This window comes from Homo sapiens, chromosome 16 (genome assembly GCF_000001405.40).
Source record: "Homo sapiens chromosome 16, GRCh38.p14 Primary Assembly".
NCBI lineage: Eukaryota > Metazoa > Chordata > Mammalia > Primates > Hominidae > Homo > Homo sapiens.
This window is the reverse complement of record NC_000016.10, coordinates 61,810,843-61,828,853: the sequence shown is the minus strand read 5'-3', so window position 1 is coordinate 61,828,853 and position 18,011 is coordinate 61,810,843. Positions and strand designations below refer to the sequence as shown.

General features: G+C 36.6%; 1 protein-coding gene across 5 annotated transcripts in view; it reads left to right on the top strand.

The window, feature by feature from the left end:
* CDH8 (cadherin 8) overlaps window positions 1-18,011 on the top strand; it is a 389,189-nt gene that overhangs the window by 207,585 nt on the left and 163,593 nt on the right. For all 5 annotated transcript variants that reach the window (NM_001796.5, XM_005255760.5, XM_047433482.1 and 2 more), the window contains exons 5-7: window positions 3,675-3,842; window positions 7,741-7,928; window positions 11,122-11,375. In NM_001796.5, coding sequence (NP_001787.2) covers window positions 3,675-3,842; window positions 7,741-7,928; window positions 11,122-11,375 — 610 coding nt within the window. The remainder of the gene's footprint in view (window positions 1-3,674; window positions 3,843-7,740; window positions 7,929-11,121; window positions 11,376-18,011) is intronic.

Sequence of the window (18,011 nt, the reverse complement as noted above, 5' to 3'; positions counted from 1 at the left end):
GAGAAGCTGGTTATTATCTCTGATTGAGAGGATATGGAGTTTGGATGAGTTTAATAATTTATTCATGGTCACAGAGTTGGTAAGGTTAAGACTAAGACAAAAAATACAAACTTGCTTGATTTCAATTATGAGGGCAGCATTGGTAAGAGGAATCAAACTTGAAAATATATGGTTGACCCTTGAACAACACAGGTTTAACCTATGAGGGTCCACTTACAAGTACATTTTTTTCAATAAATATTTTGTAAATTTTTCTGAGATTTTCAACAATTTGGAAAAATTGACAGATGAACCAGGTAGCCTAGAATGTTAAAAAAATTAAGAAAAATGAATGTCATGAATGCATAAAACGTGTGTAGATACTATTGTTACCAGAAAGAGGTCCCAGTCCAGACCTCAAAAGAGGGTTCTTGGATGCTGTGCAAGAAAGAAGTCAGGGCAAGTCTGTAGAATAGTGAAAGCAAGTTTATTAAGAAAGTAAAGGAATAAAAGAATGGATATTCCATAGACAGGGGCAGCCCTGGGGCTGCTGGTTGCCCATGTTTATGCTTATTTCTTGATGATATGCTAAACAATGGGTGGATTATTCATTCCTCCCCTTTCGTAGACCATATACAGTAACTTTCTGAAGTTGCCGTGGCATTCGTAAACTGTCATGGTGCCGGTGGGAGTGCAGTAGTAAGGACGACCAGAGGTCACTCTTGTCGCTATCTTGGTTTTGGTGGGTTTTGGCCAGTTTCTTTACTGCAACCTGTTTTATCAGCAAGGTCTTTATGATCTGTATCTTGTTCTGGCTTCCTATCTCATCCTGTAAGTTAGAATGCCTTAACTGTCTGGGAATGCAGCTCAGAAGGTCTCAGCCTTATTTTACCTAACCCCTATTCAAGATGGAGTTGTTCCAGTTTCACAAGCCTCTTACACTATTCTATTTATATGTTAATCGACTGTTTGTGTTATCAGTAAGGTTTGTGGTCAATAGTAGGTTATTAGCAGTTACGTTTTGGGGGAGTCAAAAATGACATACAGATTTTCAACTGTACGTGGGGTCAGTGCCCCTTACCTCCCGTGTTGTTCAAGAGTCAACTGTATATGCATCTTAGGTAGTATGAAGCTGCTTACCTCAATGGGGGAGGGTAAAAAGACTTTTGCAATTGATGAAGTCCCATGGAGCATTTCTTGTCCTATTTGCTAAACAACATTCTCCACTGTGACGCTTCACTCATATTCTGATATAACTTGTAGACACTAACCCAAAGGTGTTATTTCCAAGTGAGTAAAAAAACTATTTTAATTCCAAATGCCTAAGAGACATCACAGTTTTGTTTTGTTTTACATTTTCACTTTCACAACATATAAAAGAAATGATGAGAATAATACATACCAATCTTTTTTGACTCAGAGAAGTTGCAGGAGTTCTTTCACGCAAGTAACCTGAGAAGTCTCATGCATAGACCTCACCTCATCAACTTTCTTGAAAAAAATTGCTGCCTTCCTTGGAGAACAACATTATTTTGCTCTGATTGTTAGAAGCTCCATGTCAAATTCCAAAGTCCAGTGGATGGCATAATTGGTGATGACCTTAGAATGTGGTGGTACAAGCATTCATGTAAATGTCACAGGAGGAAAACAATGTTTTCAATCTTTTTTACTGAAAATTTGAGCCATAATGAAAACATTCTAGGTCATGAAAATGTATATTCATAGCAGAGTAGCTATCTTGGTATCTCAACATGCTAATATAATGAGGTTGTTGTCTTTGTTGCTGTTTTTTGCTTATCTGTTTGTTTTCTTCTCAAACATGCCTCAGAGTGATCTAAATCTGAATGGTTGATATATTTCTACTTTTATTTCTGTTTTTATTTCTAACTATATAGGTATGACCTATAAGCTATATTATGATGTGATCAAATCCTGAAACAAAGCATTGCATTGAAAAATATCATCGTAGTATTACAAATGTTTCCAAATAAGCAAGGTTATCTAATTCAGTGCTCCCTGAATGGGAAGCCCTATTATTAAAGTTGTGTCAGAGTCTAATAAAGTGTATAAGAACTCACAGTTCTCCCCAGAGCCTGCTCCCTGTGTAGGTGCATTGTATTTCCCTGGTAACTCTTGGGACTCACTTGCTACTCAAAAGATTTAGGGACTTGAACTCCTTGCAGTGCTTTTACAGACAGATGATTTAAATAAACCATATGAATTAAAAAAAAAAAAGAATTACAACTTCAGAAGTGGCCAAGGCAATGGCTCAGCTTCAATTTGAATTGAACATGTATGGTGCCCCTGGGTTAGAAGTGAAGGGGTTAAATTGTCTTTAATCTGGACATTTTCCTTTTAGCTTGACCAGAAATGTAACACACATCAATTCAATAGAAGTATTCTGGACTAGTCAAAATAAGTTTTATTATGGACATTTAGCAATATGGGGAAGGGGCATCTTATGACAGAGTTAAGTAAAAATGCAGGAAATAAAAAAATACAATATTATCATACTAATATATCTGTCAGTTGTTTGACATGGGAAAATATGAAATAACTGCAATATTTATCAATATGAGAATGCCTTAGCCATGTATAGTATATTGTACAATGAAAAATTATGCAACTGTAGGAAGTAATGAGGTGAACTTCTATGCAGTGACAAGGAAGTTTTTCAAAAACATCTCCTGTGAGAAAAAGAAAGTCTCAGAATGCTGCCTACATCATGATCATGTCTGTGGTTAAATGTTTATACTCACATTTCTGGGTATGTACATATCATGGCCTTATAATTTTGCGCCTCAAAATGTCAGCGTTATCTATGAAAAAAATATGTGGAGGTAGAGAGCTAAATAAGGATTTTTGATTTTCAAAATAAACTTCAGGAGGATCTAAGAAAATTTTGGATCTTTAACAAGAATATTAAATTACCAGTGAAACAAACAGACAAACCCACATGAAACGCTGAATATATATCAGAAGAAAAAACATTAAGATTTGAGCAGTGATAATTTTATCGTATTTTATGTAATTTTATATTTTATACACCTTTTCCTATATCTTCCTATTTTTCTAAACTATTTGCTACTTTTACAAAGAGAAGATGTATCTAAAGAATTAAAATATAAATATAGCTGAACAGTAGATTAGAACTTAAGACACTTGACTATATTAATTCTGATTGGTATTTTATTCATCTGAGTTGATTCTAATGACACATTTATTTATTTCATCTCTCAAATGTATCTGTGAACTTCAGAATAATTTATCTTTGACCTCAGAGCCTTCAAGCTATGTGTGTATTTACTCCTCCTGTGGGGGAATTGAGATCTGTGATAAATTGGAGAATTCTTTCACTCCCAGGGTTTTCTGGGGTGGACGAGACTGTGTTATGATATACATTATAATTTGGTAGGCAAGGGATGCCATTCAGTTTACTTTCTAATGTATATTTTTGCAAGTTCTTTTTATACATTATAAAATATATTTTTGCAAATTATCTGTAAATGTCTATGACCACAGTCTTTCTCATTGATGTAACAGGCACACACCAATCAAATGTCAGAAGAACACAGAAAATTATCTGACTAGGGACTTGGTGTATGCTTGTGTGTATGTGTGCATGTGTGAGATTAACACTTTCATTTTTGAATTAGCTCTGTGACTGAAAGTCATTCTTCCATTTTCCCCCTCAGCTATTATAAAAACTGCCCTTCCCAACATGGACAGAGAAGCCAAGGAGGAGTACCTGGTTGTTATCCAAGCCAAAGATATGGGTGGACACTCTGGTGGCCTGTCTGGGACCACGACACTTACAGTGACTCTTACTGATGTTAATGACAATCCTCCAAAATTTGCACAGAGTAAGTTAATTTCCTGCACTGGATGAGAATCTTGGTATGATGTTTCCATTTGAATTTATATTATAATTTTTAGTGATAATTAAAAACCTGACAGCAACTATTGAGTGGCTTATTATGTGCCAGGTATGGCATGATTTTGGTACTAAACTTATTCCCATTTTACAGATTACAAAACAGTTGATACCATTTCCAAATATCAAGCGTATAGTAAGTAAGAATTAGAACCAGTATGTCTGACTGCAAGTTGTGCACTCCTTTCTCTTTTGCCTGCTATTTCTCTTTATGAAAGCTTGAGAGGGTGATGCAAATGAAGCTCAGATATTGCTCTATTATTAGCCCCATTTGTTTTAGAAAGGAAATCAAATCTCTAGTGCCCGAGGTAGGGAAGACAAATATGCAGTAGGCTTGCTGCAAAATTTACACTCCTTCTTCCTGCAACTGGGAGGACATCAGTAAGACTCCACTCTTCCCTGCTAAAGCCATACTCTGCCTTGGAAATTTCAACAGCGTGCATTCTAGGCAGCCAACATGAAAGAATCAGGGAGACAATAATTATTTGACAACTTTCTTTACTCTCATCGAACACTTTCTTCTGAGCATTTATTCAAGTAATATGACAGAGACATGATTTGATAAGGCCTTTCTGACATGGGGACTCTTGAATTGAAACATGAAAAAGTGAAAACAATTAGTTGGAACAAGGTGAAGCCATGGGAGGGAGGATGAATAGTGCAGCTTAAAAGGATGTTTAAAAGCCCTGTGTCTACATACTTATTATTATTATTATTATTTTTAAGATGCCACATATAAGTAAGATCAGGCAGGGCTTTTTTTCCTTTGATCTGGCTTATTTCACTTAACATAATATCCTCTAGGTTCATTCATGTTGTTGCAAATGACAGGATCTCCTTTTTAAAGGCTGAATAATATTTCATTGTATAAATATACACCACAACTTCTTTAGCCATTCATCTGTCAGTGGATACTTGGGTGATGTCCATTTCTTTGCTATTCTGAAGAATCCTGGAATGAACATGAAAGTGCAGACATCTTTCCAAGGCAGTGGTTTCTTTTATCAAAACATCACAGTGTACACCTTAAATATAGTCAATAATAAAACAAAAGAAGCTCTGTGGAAGGATGGTGTACAGCCATGTATGGGAATGGAAATAATTTCACTGCAGCTGGAGCAGAGAGTGCCAGGGGAAAGTGCTGCAGCAAGAGTCTGGAGAGTTAGATTAGACTGAAATTAGCCATACTTGGATTCAAAAGCCATTTTAAGTATGAGGACCTATGAGGACCTTTATCCTAAGATCATTAGGAGGCCATTTAAAGATTTTAAATTGCAGCTTGAGTGATAGGCTGTGGTTCCAGCGAAACTGAAAAGAAATTAAATCTGGCCTTCCTCCAATGTTTTTTTCTGCTTTGCAGCCAGTTAAAGAGTTATTTGCAATCATTCACATAAAAGGTGATGGTAGCCCTGGCAAGCAAGGGTAGTTGTGTTGGATGCAGAGAAAAGTGTATGAGTGTGATGCATAGTTGAGTCACAGAAGATAAAAGTCTAAGGAAAGATTGCATTTTCAGTTGAGGAAGATAAATGATAATATTTCTAACATGAAAGATTAGATGCATGCTGGTGCTATTTGTTGGTATAGAAAACACCATAGGAAATCTGTTTTTTAAAGAGTTAAAGGAGGGAAGGTGGGGTGGGGAGAGACAGGGAGAGAGTGACAAAGAGAGAAATGTGTATGGAGCTTGAAAATGACACATTTGAGGTATCTTTGATGATTTATCTGAAGAAATTCCAAGCTAGAAAGGATAGAGGAGATGCATTTTCATTAAGAATTTTAGAATTTTTACATCTGGCAATTCATAAATCAGACAACAATGCAACCTTTTTAAACAAAATTATTGAAATGGAGAACACCATTTCTTCTACTCTTTCCCTCACTTTTTTTGCCTTTGCAGTTGCCATTACAGTGAATACTGCAAGATGCCATATTTCATTATAAGAAAATGATTATTCAATTAAATAATGGCAGATCAATTTCAAACGTGTGCCTTTTCTTAGAGATAATAACTATTAACTGTGATCACACTGATAGAGATGAGGAGCAGGCACAGAATAGGAATGGTTAAAAGAATGTTCCATTTGCTTGGCTTCCCAAGACTCCCCATGTAGGACTAGCAGCACGGCGCGGCCCCTTGCTGTCTTATTTATTTAATAAGCATACCAAAAGGGATCATCTCAAACCTTACTTGGAATATACAGTTTGTGGAAAATGGAATCATTACACCAATTATGAGAAAACTGGGAGACTTCGCTTGCAGTGAGGATTTTCAGTGCCTACCTTGTGGCAGAACTATTTGGAAAATATTTCAATCCCCAGTCCTATAACTTCGTGATTCTAAGAGAGATGTTTTTATCCCATTGTTAAATAAAGGGGTGTTAGTGCTAGAAGAAACCTTACTGTTATGTTGAGTATAATGAGCCTTAGTTTATCCAAGGGACTCAGTGGATTTGAGCTCGAATGAGAATTAGGTAATGTTCTCCAGATTTGATTTTTCCTTTTGGGTTTTTAGGTCATTGAATGTTTAATTTTCCCTTGTTGTGGTTGCAAGGAGAGTAAAACTTTTTGGTTTTTTGAGTTTGGGTTCCCCAGAAACAGACCCTGAGACAAGAATTTGATTGTAAGTTTAACTCGGAGATGGGACCAATAAATGCCAGTGGAGAAAGGAGAGAGAGAGACAGAGAGAGAAATAGCCAAAAAAAAAAAAAAAAAAAAAAAAAAAAAAAAAAAAAAAAGGTGCGTTTTTGAGCCAGTTACTACAGTGGGTTACTGGAACTTTATCTTATTGGAGAAACTCTGGACCATTGTAAAGAAGGAAAAGAAAAGAAAAAACTCAAAGTTATCCTGCCACAGAATGGAGAGACCTAGAATTTTATATACTAACTCCTGTGAGTCTTTGAGGGCTGCTTCTGCAGGAGGCATTAATTTTCTGGCATTTTTGGCCTGACACTCAGTGGGCAAAATAGGTTCTAAAGGCCCGCAATAACCCTCAGGCAAAGAAATGCAGGAGTGGCAGTTAGATGTAAGACAGGTGTACACTACAGTAACAATGGCCGGGGGTTATGATTGGGACACCAACAGCTTCCTCTACACCAGTGAAAGTGAGTGACAGCAGTATAACAACTAAAGTGACTTGAGTTAAAATGGACTAATGACACTAATTAGACACACTTTATTGCCCCCATAGGAGAGTGAAGATACACTTGATTGTATTTTGCCTAGGAAGTGTTGAAGGCAGGATTTTTGTCTTTAGAGCAATGAGGACTTTAGCAACAAGAGGAGTGTTTCATGTGTCTGAACAGCTTGCTGCAGGGCACAGCAGAAGTTCAGTAATTGAATTTTATCAAAAATGGTCTAAAAGTCTGTAAATATAAAGGTAAGTTCAAAAGTGACTTCCAGTGTGTTACACATTGCATCTTTCTGTGCTGAAATTAGCTTAATATTTTATGTTGGCAACGACGAATATCCCCATGGGCAGTAAATGTGATTATACAGCAAAAAGGAAAAAATATACACATAGATTCCCTAATAGTCTTGATATAACTGCTCCAAATATACACTTGGTAAACATATGGTTGAGTAAGTTTCATATCTCAGAAGAGCCTTGAAAAGGGATCATGCCTTCTTCTGGGAACTGTTTTTCTCTGATTCAGTTAAAAGACTGAACATTCCAGAAGGGAAACGGATATTTCTGTCTTTTCTATCACTTTATTGGTAGCATCTATAGGAATGCCCAGAACAAAGGAGGTGCCCAAAAGATATTTGCCATATGAATGAATGAATGGTTGGAATTTGTGTGACTCTCATTGTTTCTCCTCTTTTTAAAGGCCTGTATCACTTCTCAGTACCGGAAGATGTGGTTCTTGGCACTGCAATAGGAAGGGTGAAGGCCAATGATCAGGATATTGGTGAAAATGCACAGTCATCATATGATATCATCGATGGAGATGGAACAGCACTTTTTGAAATCACTTCTGATGCCCAGGCCCAGGATGGCATTATAAGGCTAAGAAAAGTAAGCTAAGGAAGCTTTTGTTCATCTTCAAAATATCTTGTTGAAACTTGAGTTTTAAAGTTGAGGGACTTGTGTGGAGTTCCTGGCAGAATTGCACAGCTGGTAGGTGTTTAGCTTTGAGCAGTAAGACAAGATAACTAGTACAGTCCTTTTGGCAACTCTTATCTCTTGGGCCCCCTTCACATTTCTGCTAAAGGTCTAGTAAACAGCTACCATAATAGTGCTTGTCCTCCAACTTACCTATTACCCATAACCACAGGAATTTACTGACTTCTTGTACAGGGCACTTCAATTATGTGGGGAAGTCAACATCCTGTGAAGGCAGCCCTCAACCAAAGGGGGAGAAAAATTGGTGGACAGTTACTATTGTTTGAAGAAACTATTCTGAGTCATATTGTTTAAGATTGTAAAAGGATTCTCAGTAAGAACAGGCCTCAGTTGCCCACAGAGGTGACAAGTTCAGTGGCTTTTGGTCTTTCTGTATATAACTCTCCACATGTTTGAACTCTTGCTTCCTGAAATATCTTCCCCAAATACACTGAAGCTTCCCAAGTCCTTATTGAAGGCTGTACATTCATGGAAACTAAAAAAAAAAAAAAAAAAAAAAAAAACCAAACAGGCAGAACATTCAGGTTCAGTTATCCTGGCTTTCTCTAGTCCCTGAAGGACAGGGCCAACCCTGCTACCATTGTATACTCCAAACTATGGCTCAGAGGTTTGAGCATTATGGGAAATGAATCTCATCGTTCCCTTGCTTCTGGATAGGGAGGTACCATTGAAAAAAGAAAGATCTCCATAACAAGTACAAATAATGTAGGAAAATTTGAGGCTGCTTTTGTTAGCAATCTCTTGTTTTTATGGTAGATGTAAACAATTCTGTACAGCATTTTCCATTTATAGTTCTCATCATAATACCTACACTCATAAGAAATGTGTAGAACATAGTTCATTCTTTATAGTCACAAAACACTTGCAAGGAAAATACTCTTTGATCCTCATCCTGATTATTTTCTTCAATATTGTTCTTCAAACCTTTGTCATCAAGTAGATCAAACTAGCTTTTAAATGGATTAGCTTGTTCTCAAATAAGGTAGTTGGTGGACCACACTATTGGGAGTCAATAATTTTTTTCACTTTCTTCATCAGCATTATGTAGATATGACTGTAAGGTCATATCTGAATCTCCATCATGTTACACGAGACATATTTCCAATGGTCTTGCTCTAAAAATCGCCCCCACTGAAGAGATCTTAACACTGGAGACCTAAAGTTTTCTGGATATTCTTTTTTATAAAACATATTTTTAAAAATCAATTTTGAAAAAGATGTCTACATTTATTTTAACTCTCTGTTGAGCAATGCTATCTTTCTACCAAAATCCTGGTTGAGTTTAGCATTAAGAACTACAAAACATTTAAAAAGCCATGTTTGAAATAAAGTAGAGTACAATATTTGAGTCAATTATTGAATAACCCAGAGCCACATTTTCCTTGACTAATGATTCCTAATGTCATTTTTATTGTTATTATTCCCATTTTTTTTGCCATAAAGTGCTGTTATAAACTGAAACAATTAGCCATTTACTTTATTTTTATTTGCTGTTATTCATAAACTTGGAAGCATATACTATACACCTTGACACCAAGTAAAATGTGTATTTTACCCTAGAGAACAGTGCAAAGGAGTTGTATTTCTACAATTTATAGGCCCTCTTTTTTGTCCAATAAAATTCTTGGGACACCAGAATGTGTCTGGGTTCATTGTTGTTATCTTGAGCTGGAATTAAGCAGAACATAATCTGTTATACTTAACGATGTTTGTGAAGAATTTGAAATTGCAAAATTGTTACAGTAAAGGTGATTGGCAAATTGTGAATATGCTGATGTTGCATGATCTATTCATGGATGCATGTGCTTAGTAATTTTAGAATAGATAGTAAAGTGAGTGCCTGCCTGGTTTACTAGAAAATATTGAAAAAAAAAAAAAAAAAGGAGCCAAGTCCCATTAGATCAGAATTTAAATGTGAAAACCAACACAATAGTTTGAAATAAGAATATATAATTAAGCTTGTACTGGAATTCTGAAAGAGTTCACTGGTGCCAGTTTGTCTTCTAGTTTATTTTTAAAAATCTTCATTGCCTATTTAAAGTTCTATTTCTTATGAGAAATTTGTAATGCAGATGTATACTGTCTCTTTGAACCTCGACAGACTTGCATTCTTGAAATCTGAAGTATTATGAGTTGCCAAAAATTGGGCTATAAAGGTGCTAATGCACGTGGGCTTCTGGCTTATTGAAGGCGAATTCTTTTTACCTAGCTTTACTTACCTAGGTCATTGACCAAAGTCTCTCAGAGTTTTAGGGAATGAAGTATTAGTATGTCAGAAATATTGTCAGTAATGGTGCAATGAGGTAATTTCAAATTGCTTTTAAGTGGTTTGTGGGGGCACAATTAGATTCAGTTATCTATTTATACTGCTCACATAATTTCTTCTTCTAAATATAAACACAAGTACATACATATGTATCGGTGCACATATTTCTTTACATGCCCACCTGCCTCATAGCATAAATTCATAATAGAGAGTCTCTAAGAATGTCCTAAAAAATAATAAACCTCATTTTAACCACATGATCAGTAGAGTAGCAATGCTTTAAAGTGAAATCAGAAAATACTCTTTGTGGGGATTAGTGCTAAATTATGCTTTATAATGTCTCCTTGGACTAAACAATGATTATTTCTAGTTCTTTACATTTCACACTCTGTTGCAGAAATGATAAAATATTCTTCCCAGACAGAGATTGTGTTCGATGTCGCCTTATCTCCCACCAGCAGAGGCCTGATTAAGTGGCTGATTAGTATGCAGGTCATGCTGTCACTAGTAAAATTTTATTATGACTCTGAAGTGAAATTTTGATGGCACAATTCATGACTGTGAATATTTTGTGAATTCCAAGTGAAATGAGCAAAACAAAACAATAGGAGATTAGATTCACTGAGCTTATATAATAAACAGACATAAATAAATGCCCATAAAATTTACAGGTTGAATCTGGGGGACTGGAGAGTGATCCCATTAAGGCTCACAAATGGGTTTAAATGCACATAACTTTCATCCATCAGCATTATACTCATTTGTTCTTGCTGCTGTGGTCATTAGTGAGAAGCATTTATCTTTGTCATTTCTTAACAGCCTCTGGACTTTGAGACCAAAAAATCCTATACGCTAAAGGTAGAGGCAGCCAATGTCCATATTGACCCACGCTTCAGTGGCAGGGGGCCCTTTAAAGACACGGCGACAGTCAAAATCGTGGTTGAAGATGCTGATGAGCCTCCGGTCTTCTCTTCACCGACTTACCTACTTGAAGTTCATGAAAATGCTGCTCTAAACTCCGTGATTGGGCAAGTGACTGCTCGTGACCCTGATATCACTTCCAGTCCTATAAGGTATTTTTATTTTAAAAGGAATACTGGCTACTGCAAATGACAAGCAGATCAGTGAAAAATGCCTTTGCTTGTACCTTCTGTGGGGCTCTCCTTGGGACTATGCTCACATGACCAAATAATGTTGGTTGGCACATACTGTGTGTGTGTGTGTGTGTGTGTGTGTGTGGTGTGTACACGCACACGTATGCCTACTAAGTGCTACATAGAGCCCAGAGCCAGGAACAATAAGATGAATACAGCTATTCCAGCTCTTAGAGAGCTCTATGAAAATGCAAAGTTGCAAATGTTTGCAATACATTTGGGTGGATCTTGTTATTTTTATGTTTTTGTTTGTTAGTGCTTTTTTTGTTTGTTTGTTTAGCTTTGGGGAAGCATTGCTAGTTTGTCCTCTGTCTCTTTTGACAGTTATGGTGAATTATATATTAGAATTTAGAGGCACGAGACCATAGTGTCAATGCATTAAGAGGCTCCTATTTTATTTCTGCATTTGGTGTTTGGCTTTGAAATGATCTTTTTATTACTTCTTGGACATTTCTGATAGGTCAGCATATCTGGTTTGGTGTCTCCTAGATAAAAATCTTTCTCTGCCATTTCAAAAATACCCTCTGTTTATAGTTTTTCTGCTCAAAATTTTTCCCCAGGATGCGAAATAATTCTTTATTAAAGCTTTTCTGTCTTTTTTAGAAATGAAGCTCCATTCGATTTTTTTTTTCTGTTGTACTGTACACATCTTTTTTCTTTTTCCAGTCACCCAAATGACAGTACAGGTTCTCCAGCTAAATAGCTTTCTCCTGAAAGCACACTGAAAATCTATAACTTCTATGCTGGTCTCCAAGGGTGAAGTGTTGGCTAATGATGTGTTTTGAGTGTGGATTTCAAATATTGTCTTACAAATATTTGTTGCAAAATCAAGGAGATAGAGAGTAAGAAGTAGATGGAGGAATACAATTTTAAAGAATTGTCCAGCTGATTTCTGAGTTTGATGTCAGCTCATACCAAACCCTTTCAATTTACAAGTCACAAATAACTAGGGCAGACCTGCTTCCAATTACTTCATTTGGGGAAACCCTGGTAAAGTGAGTTATCTGTCGGTTTATTTATTCGATTTTTTAAAAAATGTATTAAATTCCTGTTACTCACAAGGGTGCTGAGACTATGAGGCTGAGATTAAAACCTTGCAGGACAATCAGCACCCCAAATAAGTTGAATTTGTACAAAAATTATTTACAGACCCAGAAGAGCACTTTTTGTTTTTAAGTACAAATCATTTCTAAATTCAGAATAACAAATAAGACTACAGCCAATAAGTATGCAAAGAAGACTCTTCCTGCAGAAGAGTCTAACCTCTAAGAAGATGAAACTACCTGGGGATTTGAGAAATGGTCCATTGGCCATTCTCAGTTCTAAAGAAATTTCACAAACTATAGACATATGCAAAAAATAAGGGTATTTGGCTAAGAAAATTATATCTATTAATGGGCCAATGTTGAATGCAATGGGAGGAATATCCAAAAAAAAATTTACATTGGCATTAATTTCCGGAAAATATAGTGAAATTATGCAATGGCTTTATGCTGGAATGCTGACATTAATGGGGACAATGATATTTGTTGAGTGGATGAATCTGCCCTGTTCCTATGTTTCTCAATTTCCTCTGAAAGGAACTCAAAAAGGAGTAGTTGCCACATCCTTTACATCTCCAAGCAGGAGAAAGAATGTGAAGGGAGGAAATGAGATTGGTTCAACTGAGACACCAATCAGAGGACCGGTTTTAGTGCTTGATTTGACAAGGTTTCTACTCTTGTCAGCCAGGAGCATGTAAGGGCTTCAGAGTCTGCCAAGCCAAGGGTCCTTAGGGAAAATAAGGGTTCAGATATCAGCACAATAATATAAGCTCCCAACATGGACTACATGGTACCAGTGGGAATGGACTGGCTGTGCAGAGACACGATCTTAATCATCTAGAGATGAGGCTTAAGGAACTTTCATGCCATAGTAAAAGTAGCATCTTATTGGCAGAGCTAGCTATAAATCCAGGTTCATAGTTGTCCACATATGGTTGCACATTTTATAATCTATTCATTTTACTGATGTAAAAATGGAGATTTACTGATACTAATTCCAGTTCACAGGGAATCAAGAGAAGATTCTCATTGTAGTTGCTAGTTATTATTATTGCTATTGCTACTTTTATTACTGTTACTGGCAGGAAAGTTTGTGTAGAGGAAGCTTGAGGCTGTTTAGAAATAACTGTCCAGCTTAGAAGCATTTCATTTTCAGGAAAGCTAAAGGGGATTTGAGACTGTTTTTACCAGGAAGAGATGGACAGATAAAGCACTATTTGATGACACAGGCATATCTGTGCTTCTGATAGATGTCAGGCAAGTGCTAGTTCTTCAGCATCTATGGTTCTACCCAAAGAAGGGACAAATGCTGTTTCAAAGCATTTACAGCAGCCTTTGGCATGTCATTCAGAAGGGGGAGCCCACACATTTTTTATTAAACCTGGCTTGGCTCCATGGGATGAGAACTTAAGAATCACAAACCATATTTTTCAACATCTGTTCTGCAGTTCTACAGTCCTCTGCCCCCACCTCCACCCCAGTTGGATCATGGAGAGCAGCTTCCCTCTCTCTATGCACAATTGGTTAATTTCAGAAGAAAATTAAATTTCCTGACTAGCCAGAGCAATGCATAGTTCCTTATGAGTCTAGCAGACAGATTTAGAGCCATTTAACCTTTTTAGACAGAACCAGAGGATATGGATATTCAGGGAATTATTGGGTAACACATAGCTATGCATTATTTTCTCTTTAGGACTGTTGTATTTTATACACTGACAAGAATGTATCCATCTTTTAGGATAACGTTTAATTTGCTATCCAGCAAGAAATAGGCAGTTATCCCAGCATCTGCCATGCTAAAACATACAGTTATTTGTTGGTTGGTTGGCTTCTCACGCGGTTCAATTTCTTTTTAGAGCACATTGTCAAGCTAGAAATATCATGTATTTTTGACTTCTTATACCTACTACTATATCTCTATCTGTATGTATTTGTCTGTATATTCCTTTACGGGGGAAAATGAAAAGTGACATAGAGAAAAATCCGTCATCTTACCCTCTCACTTGCAGGAACATTAATTAGTTCCTTGCTACTTTCTGCAATACTATGTCTTTCACTAATGTAAAATAAAGTTGTGTAAATTATTTAAAATATGACATATTTTGAATTTAGGGAGACTAAGGTTGAAATCATATCACTACTACTTCCCAGTCGGAGAACTAGTCTCTGGAATTCTCTGAGATTCAGTTTTCTCCTCCGTATGGGATAATATCATCTTTCTTGCAGTGTTAATGAGATGATTAAGTGACAATATTGAATAAAATATGTGGTAGCTAGTAGGGTTACCAGTTAATAAAAGGTAAGCCACCATCAATTTCACATCTTAAATGCAAATTAAGAACCTAAAACTTATTTTAGTAGAGATTCATCTAGGTGGCTGTGTGCAGAATTGTGTTTTTTCTTTGACAGCTATAGGCTAAATAGTCTAATTGATCTCATTTAGTCTTATTTTCTCCTGCTACTGCTACGGATGTTGTTACTAGTGAGTGCTTGGTATATATCAGGACCTGTGCAACATATACTTGTTTCATTCTCTAACACTTCTAGTATATATATGTGGAGTCATTATGTTGCAGCTAAAGCTGGGTTCTTATCACATAACAAGGAAAATTTAGGTACGCAGACACATTAAAAGGTGAGTAGGACAGGATTTTATTGGGCAAAAAGGGAAAAAAAAACAGCAAAGCAAGATAAGAGTCATGCTAACAGGCTCCCCACCTCACAGATTGAATCCTCCCGGCTAGGACACGGAACTGGAGACCAGGCTTCTCCCCCTGCCCGTGGCTCCACCCTGTTCCCCCAGTGCGCATGTAGACATGCTCAGACACAGCCCTGGGCCAGTTCCCTCATCTGCACAAGAGCATCTGATGTAAACACTTGCGGGGCAGGCCGGAGATTCTCCAAGGGCCTTTTATCAGCTTAGGCATTTGGCTGTCTCGGTTATACCCATTTAAGAGATGTGAAACCTGAGGATTAAAGAACTAACTTGCCCAGTATCACACAAATAGTTAGAAGTGGAACTGGGGTGTGCACTTGGGTCTTATGATGGTGCCATGCCTATCCCCAGTCCTTTCTTTTCCTTGTGATCTCTGTAACTCGTCAACTGGGCCTATAAGCTTTAGGATGACTGAGTAGGACCAATTATAATGGAAATAATTGACTATTCATTCTCTAAATGACCTCACTGAATATCAGGAAAGAAGAAAAATAAACCAAATCTGTGGAATTAACCAGAGTATAAATGCTGTGATCTTTGCTCATCTGCCTAGCCACCTGGTATGGGTTTGTTATTATTGGCTGTGAACCAGATTGTGATGGGCAAGGTAAAGGAGAAAACAATGTTATTTTTATTTGATGAATCCGACACCATACTAAGCTCCTATTATGTATTATCTCACGTAATTCTTACAAATGACACCAAGAAATACTTAGTATGATTTCAGTTTTATAAAGAAGGAAACTTAAAAAGGATAAGCTTCCTGTACTTAGTGATATAGCACGTAAACGCAGGACGAGAGGTTAAATCCAAGTTTCTGCTTATCATTGGCCACTATACCTATGCACGCTCTTCTAGATTATGGATTCTTGAAAGTGGAATACGATGATGACAGTCGTGTTTATTGAGCCCATACTTCGTGACAGACACTCTGAAAAGTTGTTATATGCAGCAAATTATTTATATTTAAGGTAAACATTCCTAGCCCAGAACAGATACTAGAAATAAGTCAGTTCTTTCATGTAAATCTGCTGTGGGCCATTTTTTTTTTCCTTTCATAAACTTATTTCAATTGTGTATTGGGTGTCACCATGGCTTTGAGATGGTATGTGATTCTTTCTAAGGAAATCACTTTCTATTGTTTCCCAAGCATTCACCTTGAATAAGACTGCATGAGCTGCTTAAGTTAAAAGTGGAAATGATGGCCATTCAGCAGGCAGAGTAGGAGGTCAACATAAGATCATTGTGGCCACAGTGCTGTGTTGTCCTAATTCCTCTCTTGAATATAAATACCCACTCAACACAGAAGCATTGCATTTTTTTTTCCTACTGGTATTCTGGCATTTTTATAATTCACCTGAGTTACCAGGGTGGCTGTTCATCAGCAATTCTCCTGAAAGCAGTCTTTAGATTCATGATATCTAAGGATGCTAAAGTGAAAATATTTCATACTGTAGAAAACTTGGAATTAATTTAGATAGTAGATGGTGTATTGATTGATTCCCTCAGTCTTGCAATAACTCTCAATTTCTGTAAGGAGCATGTTTGTTTGTGTGTGTGTTTGTGGTGTGTTTGTGTGTGTAAAGAGCACTTAATAAGGGATCCACTATCTTATAAGATTTATAAGTGCACAATATAGTATTATTAACAATAGGTGCAACTTCTACAGCACATCTTTAGAACTTATTTATTTTGCATAACTAAAACTTTATGCCTGTTGATTAGCAATGCCCCATTTTCTTTTTCCCCAGTCCCTGGCAACCACAATCCTCTCTGATTCTTTGGATTTGACTATTTTGGATACCTCATAAAAGCAGAATCATGCAGTATTTGTCCTTTCGTGACTGGATTATATCTCTTAGTAGAATGTCCTTAACATTCATTCATGTTGTTGCGTATTGCAGGATCTCCTTGTTTTTAAAGGAGAAACACATTGAATAGTGTTTCAATGTCTCTCTATACCACATTTTCTTTATCCATTCATCAATGAACGTTTAGGTTGTTTTCCCATTTTGGCTATTGTAAATACTATGAACATAGGAGTGCTAATATCTTTTTAATATCTTGATTTCAATTCTTTGGGATAAATACTCAGAAGTGAGATTTCAGAATCATATAGTGATTCTGTTTTTAAGTTTTTGAGGAACCTCCATACTATTTTCCATAACAGCTCCACCATTTTGCATTCCCACCAACAGCGTATAAGAACCTAGTATTTTTAAATAATTAAAACTTGTTTCATTTAATTCTTGTACTTTCATGGCCAAATAAAAATTTGATTGTCCCCAATTTGAAAACAGCACATCGTCCAACACTGTTTCGAAAAACTCACTATACCTGCGAATTCAACTAATGGTAATTAATTCATTAAGTCACATATTCAGAAACTCATTCATTCATTCATTCACATTAATTCATTTATTCATTCATATATATTTTGACTGACATTTTGTCCAATTATTGTCAGCTGAACCTACATTTTGTCAAGAAATTTCTAGAAAGGCACAATATCTGTCTTTGTGAGCCTATAATACAGAGGTTGGCTGAATATCCCCAGAAAAACCAAAGCCCTTCACAGTTATCTAACTAGTCTTCTTTTTTTTTTTTTTTTTTTTGAGACAGAGTCTCACTCTGTCACCCAGGCTGGAGTACAGTGGCACAATCTCGGCTCACTGCAACCTCAGCCTCTTGGGTTCAAGCAATTCTTCTGCCTCAGCCTCCTGAGTAGCTGGGAACACAGGCATGCACCACCATACCCGGCTAATTTTTTGTATTTTTAACAGAGATGAGGTTTCA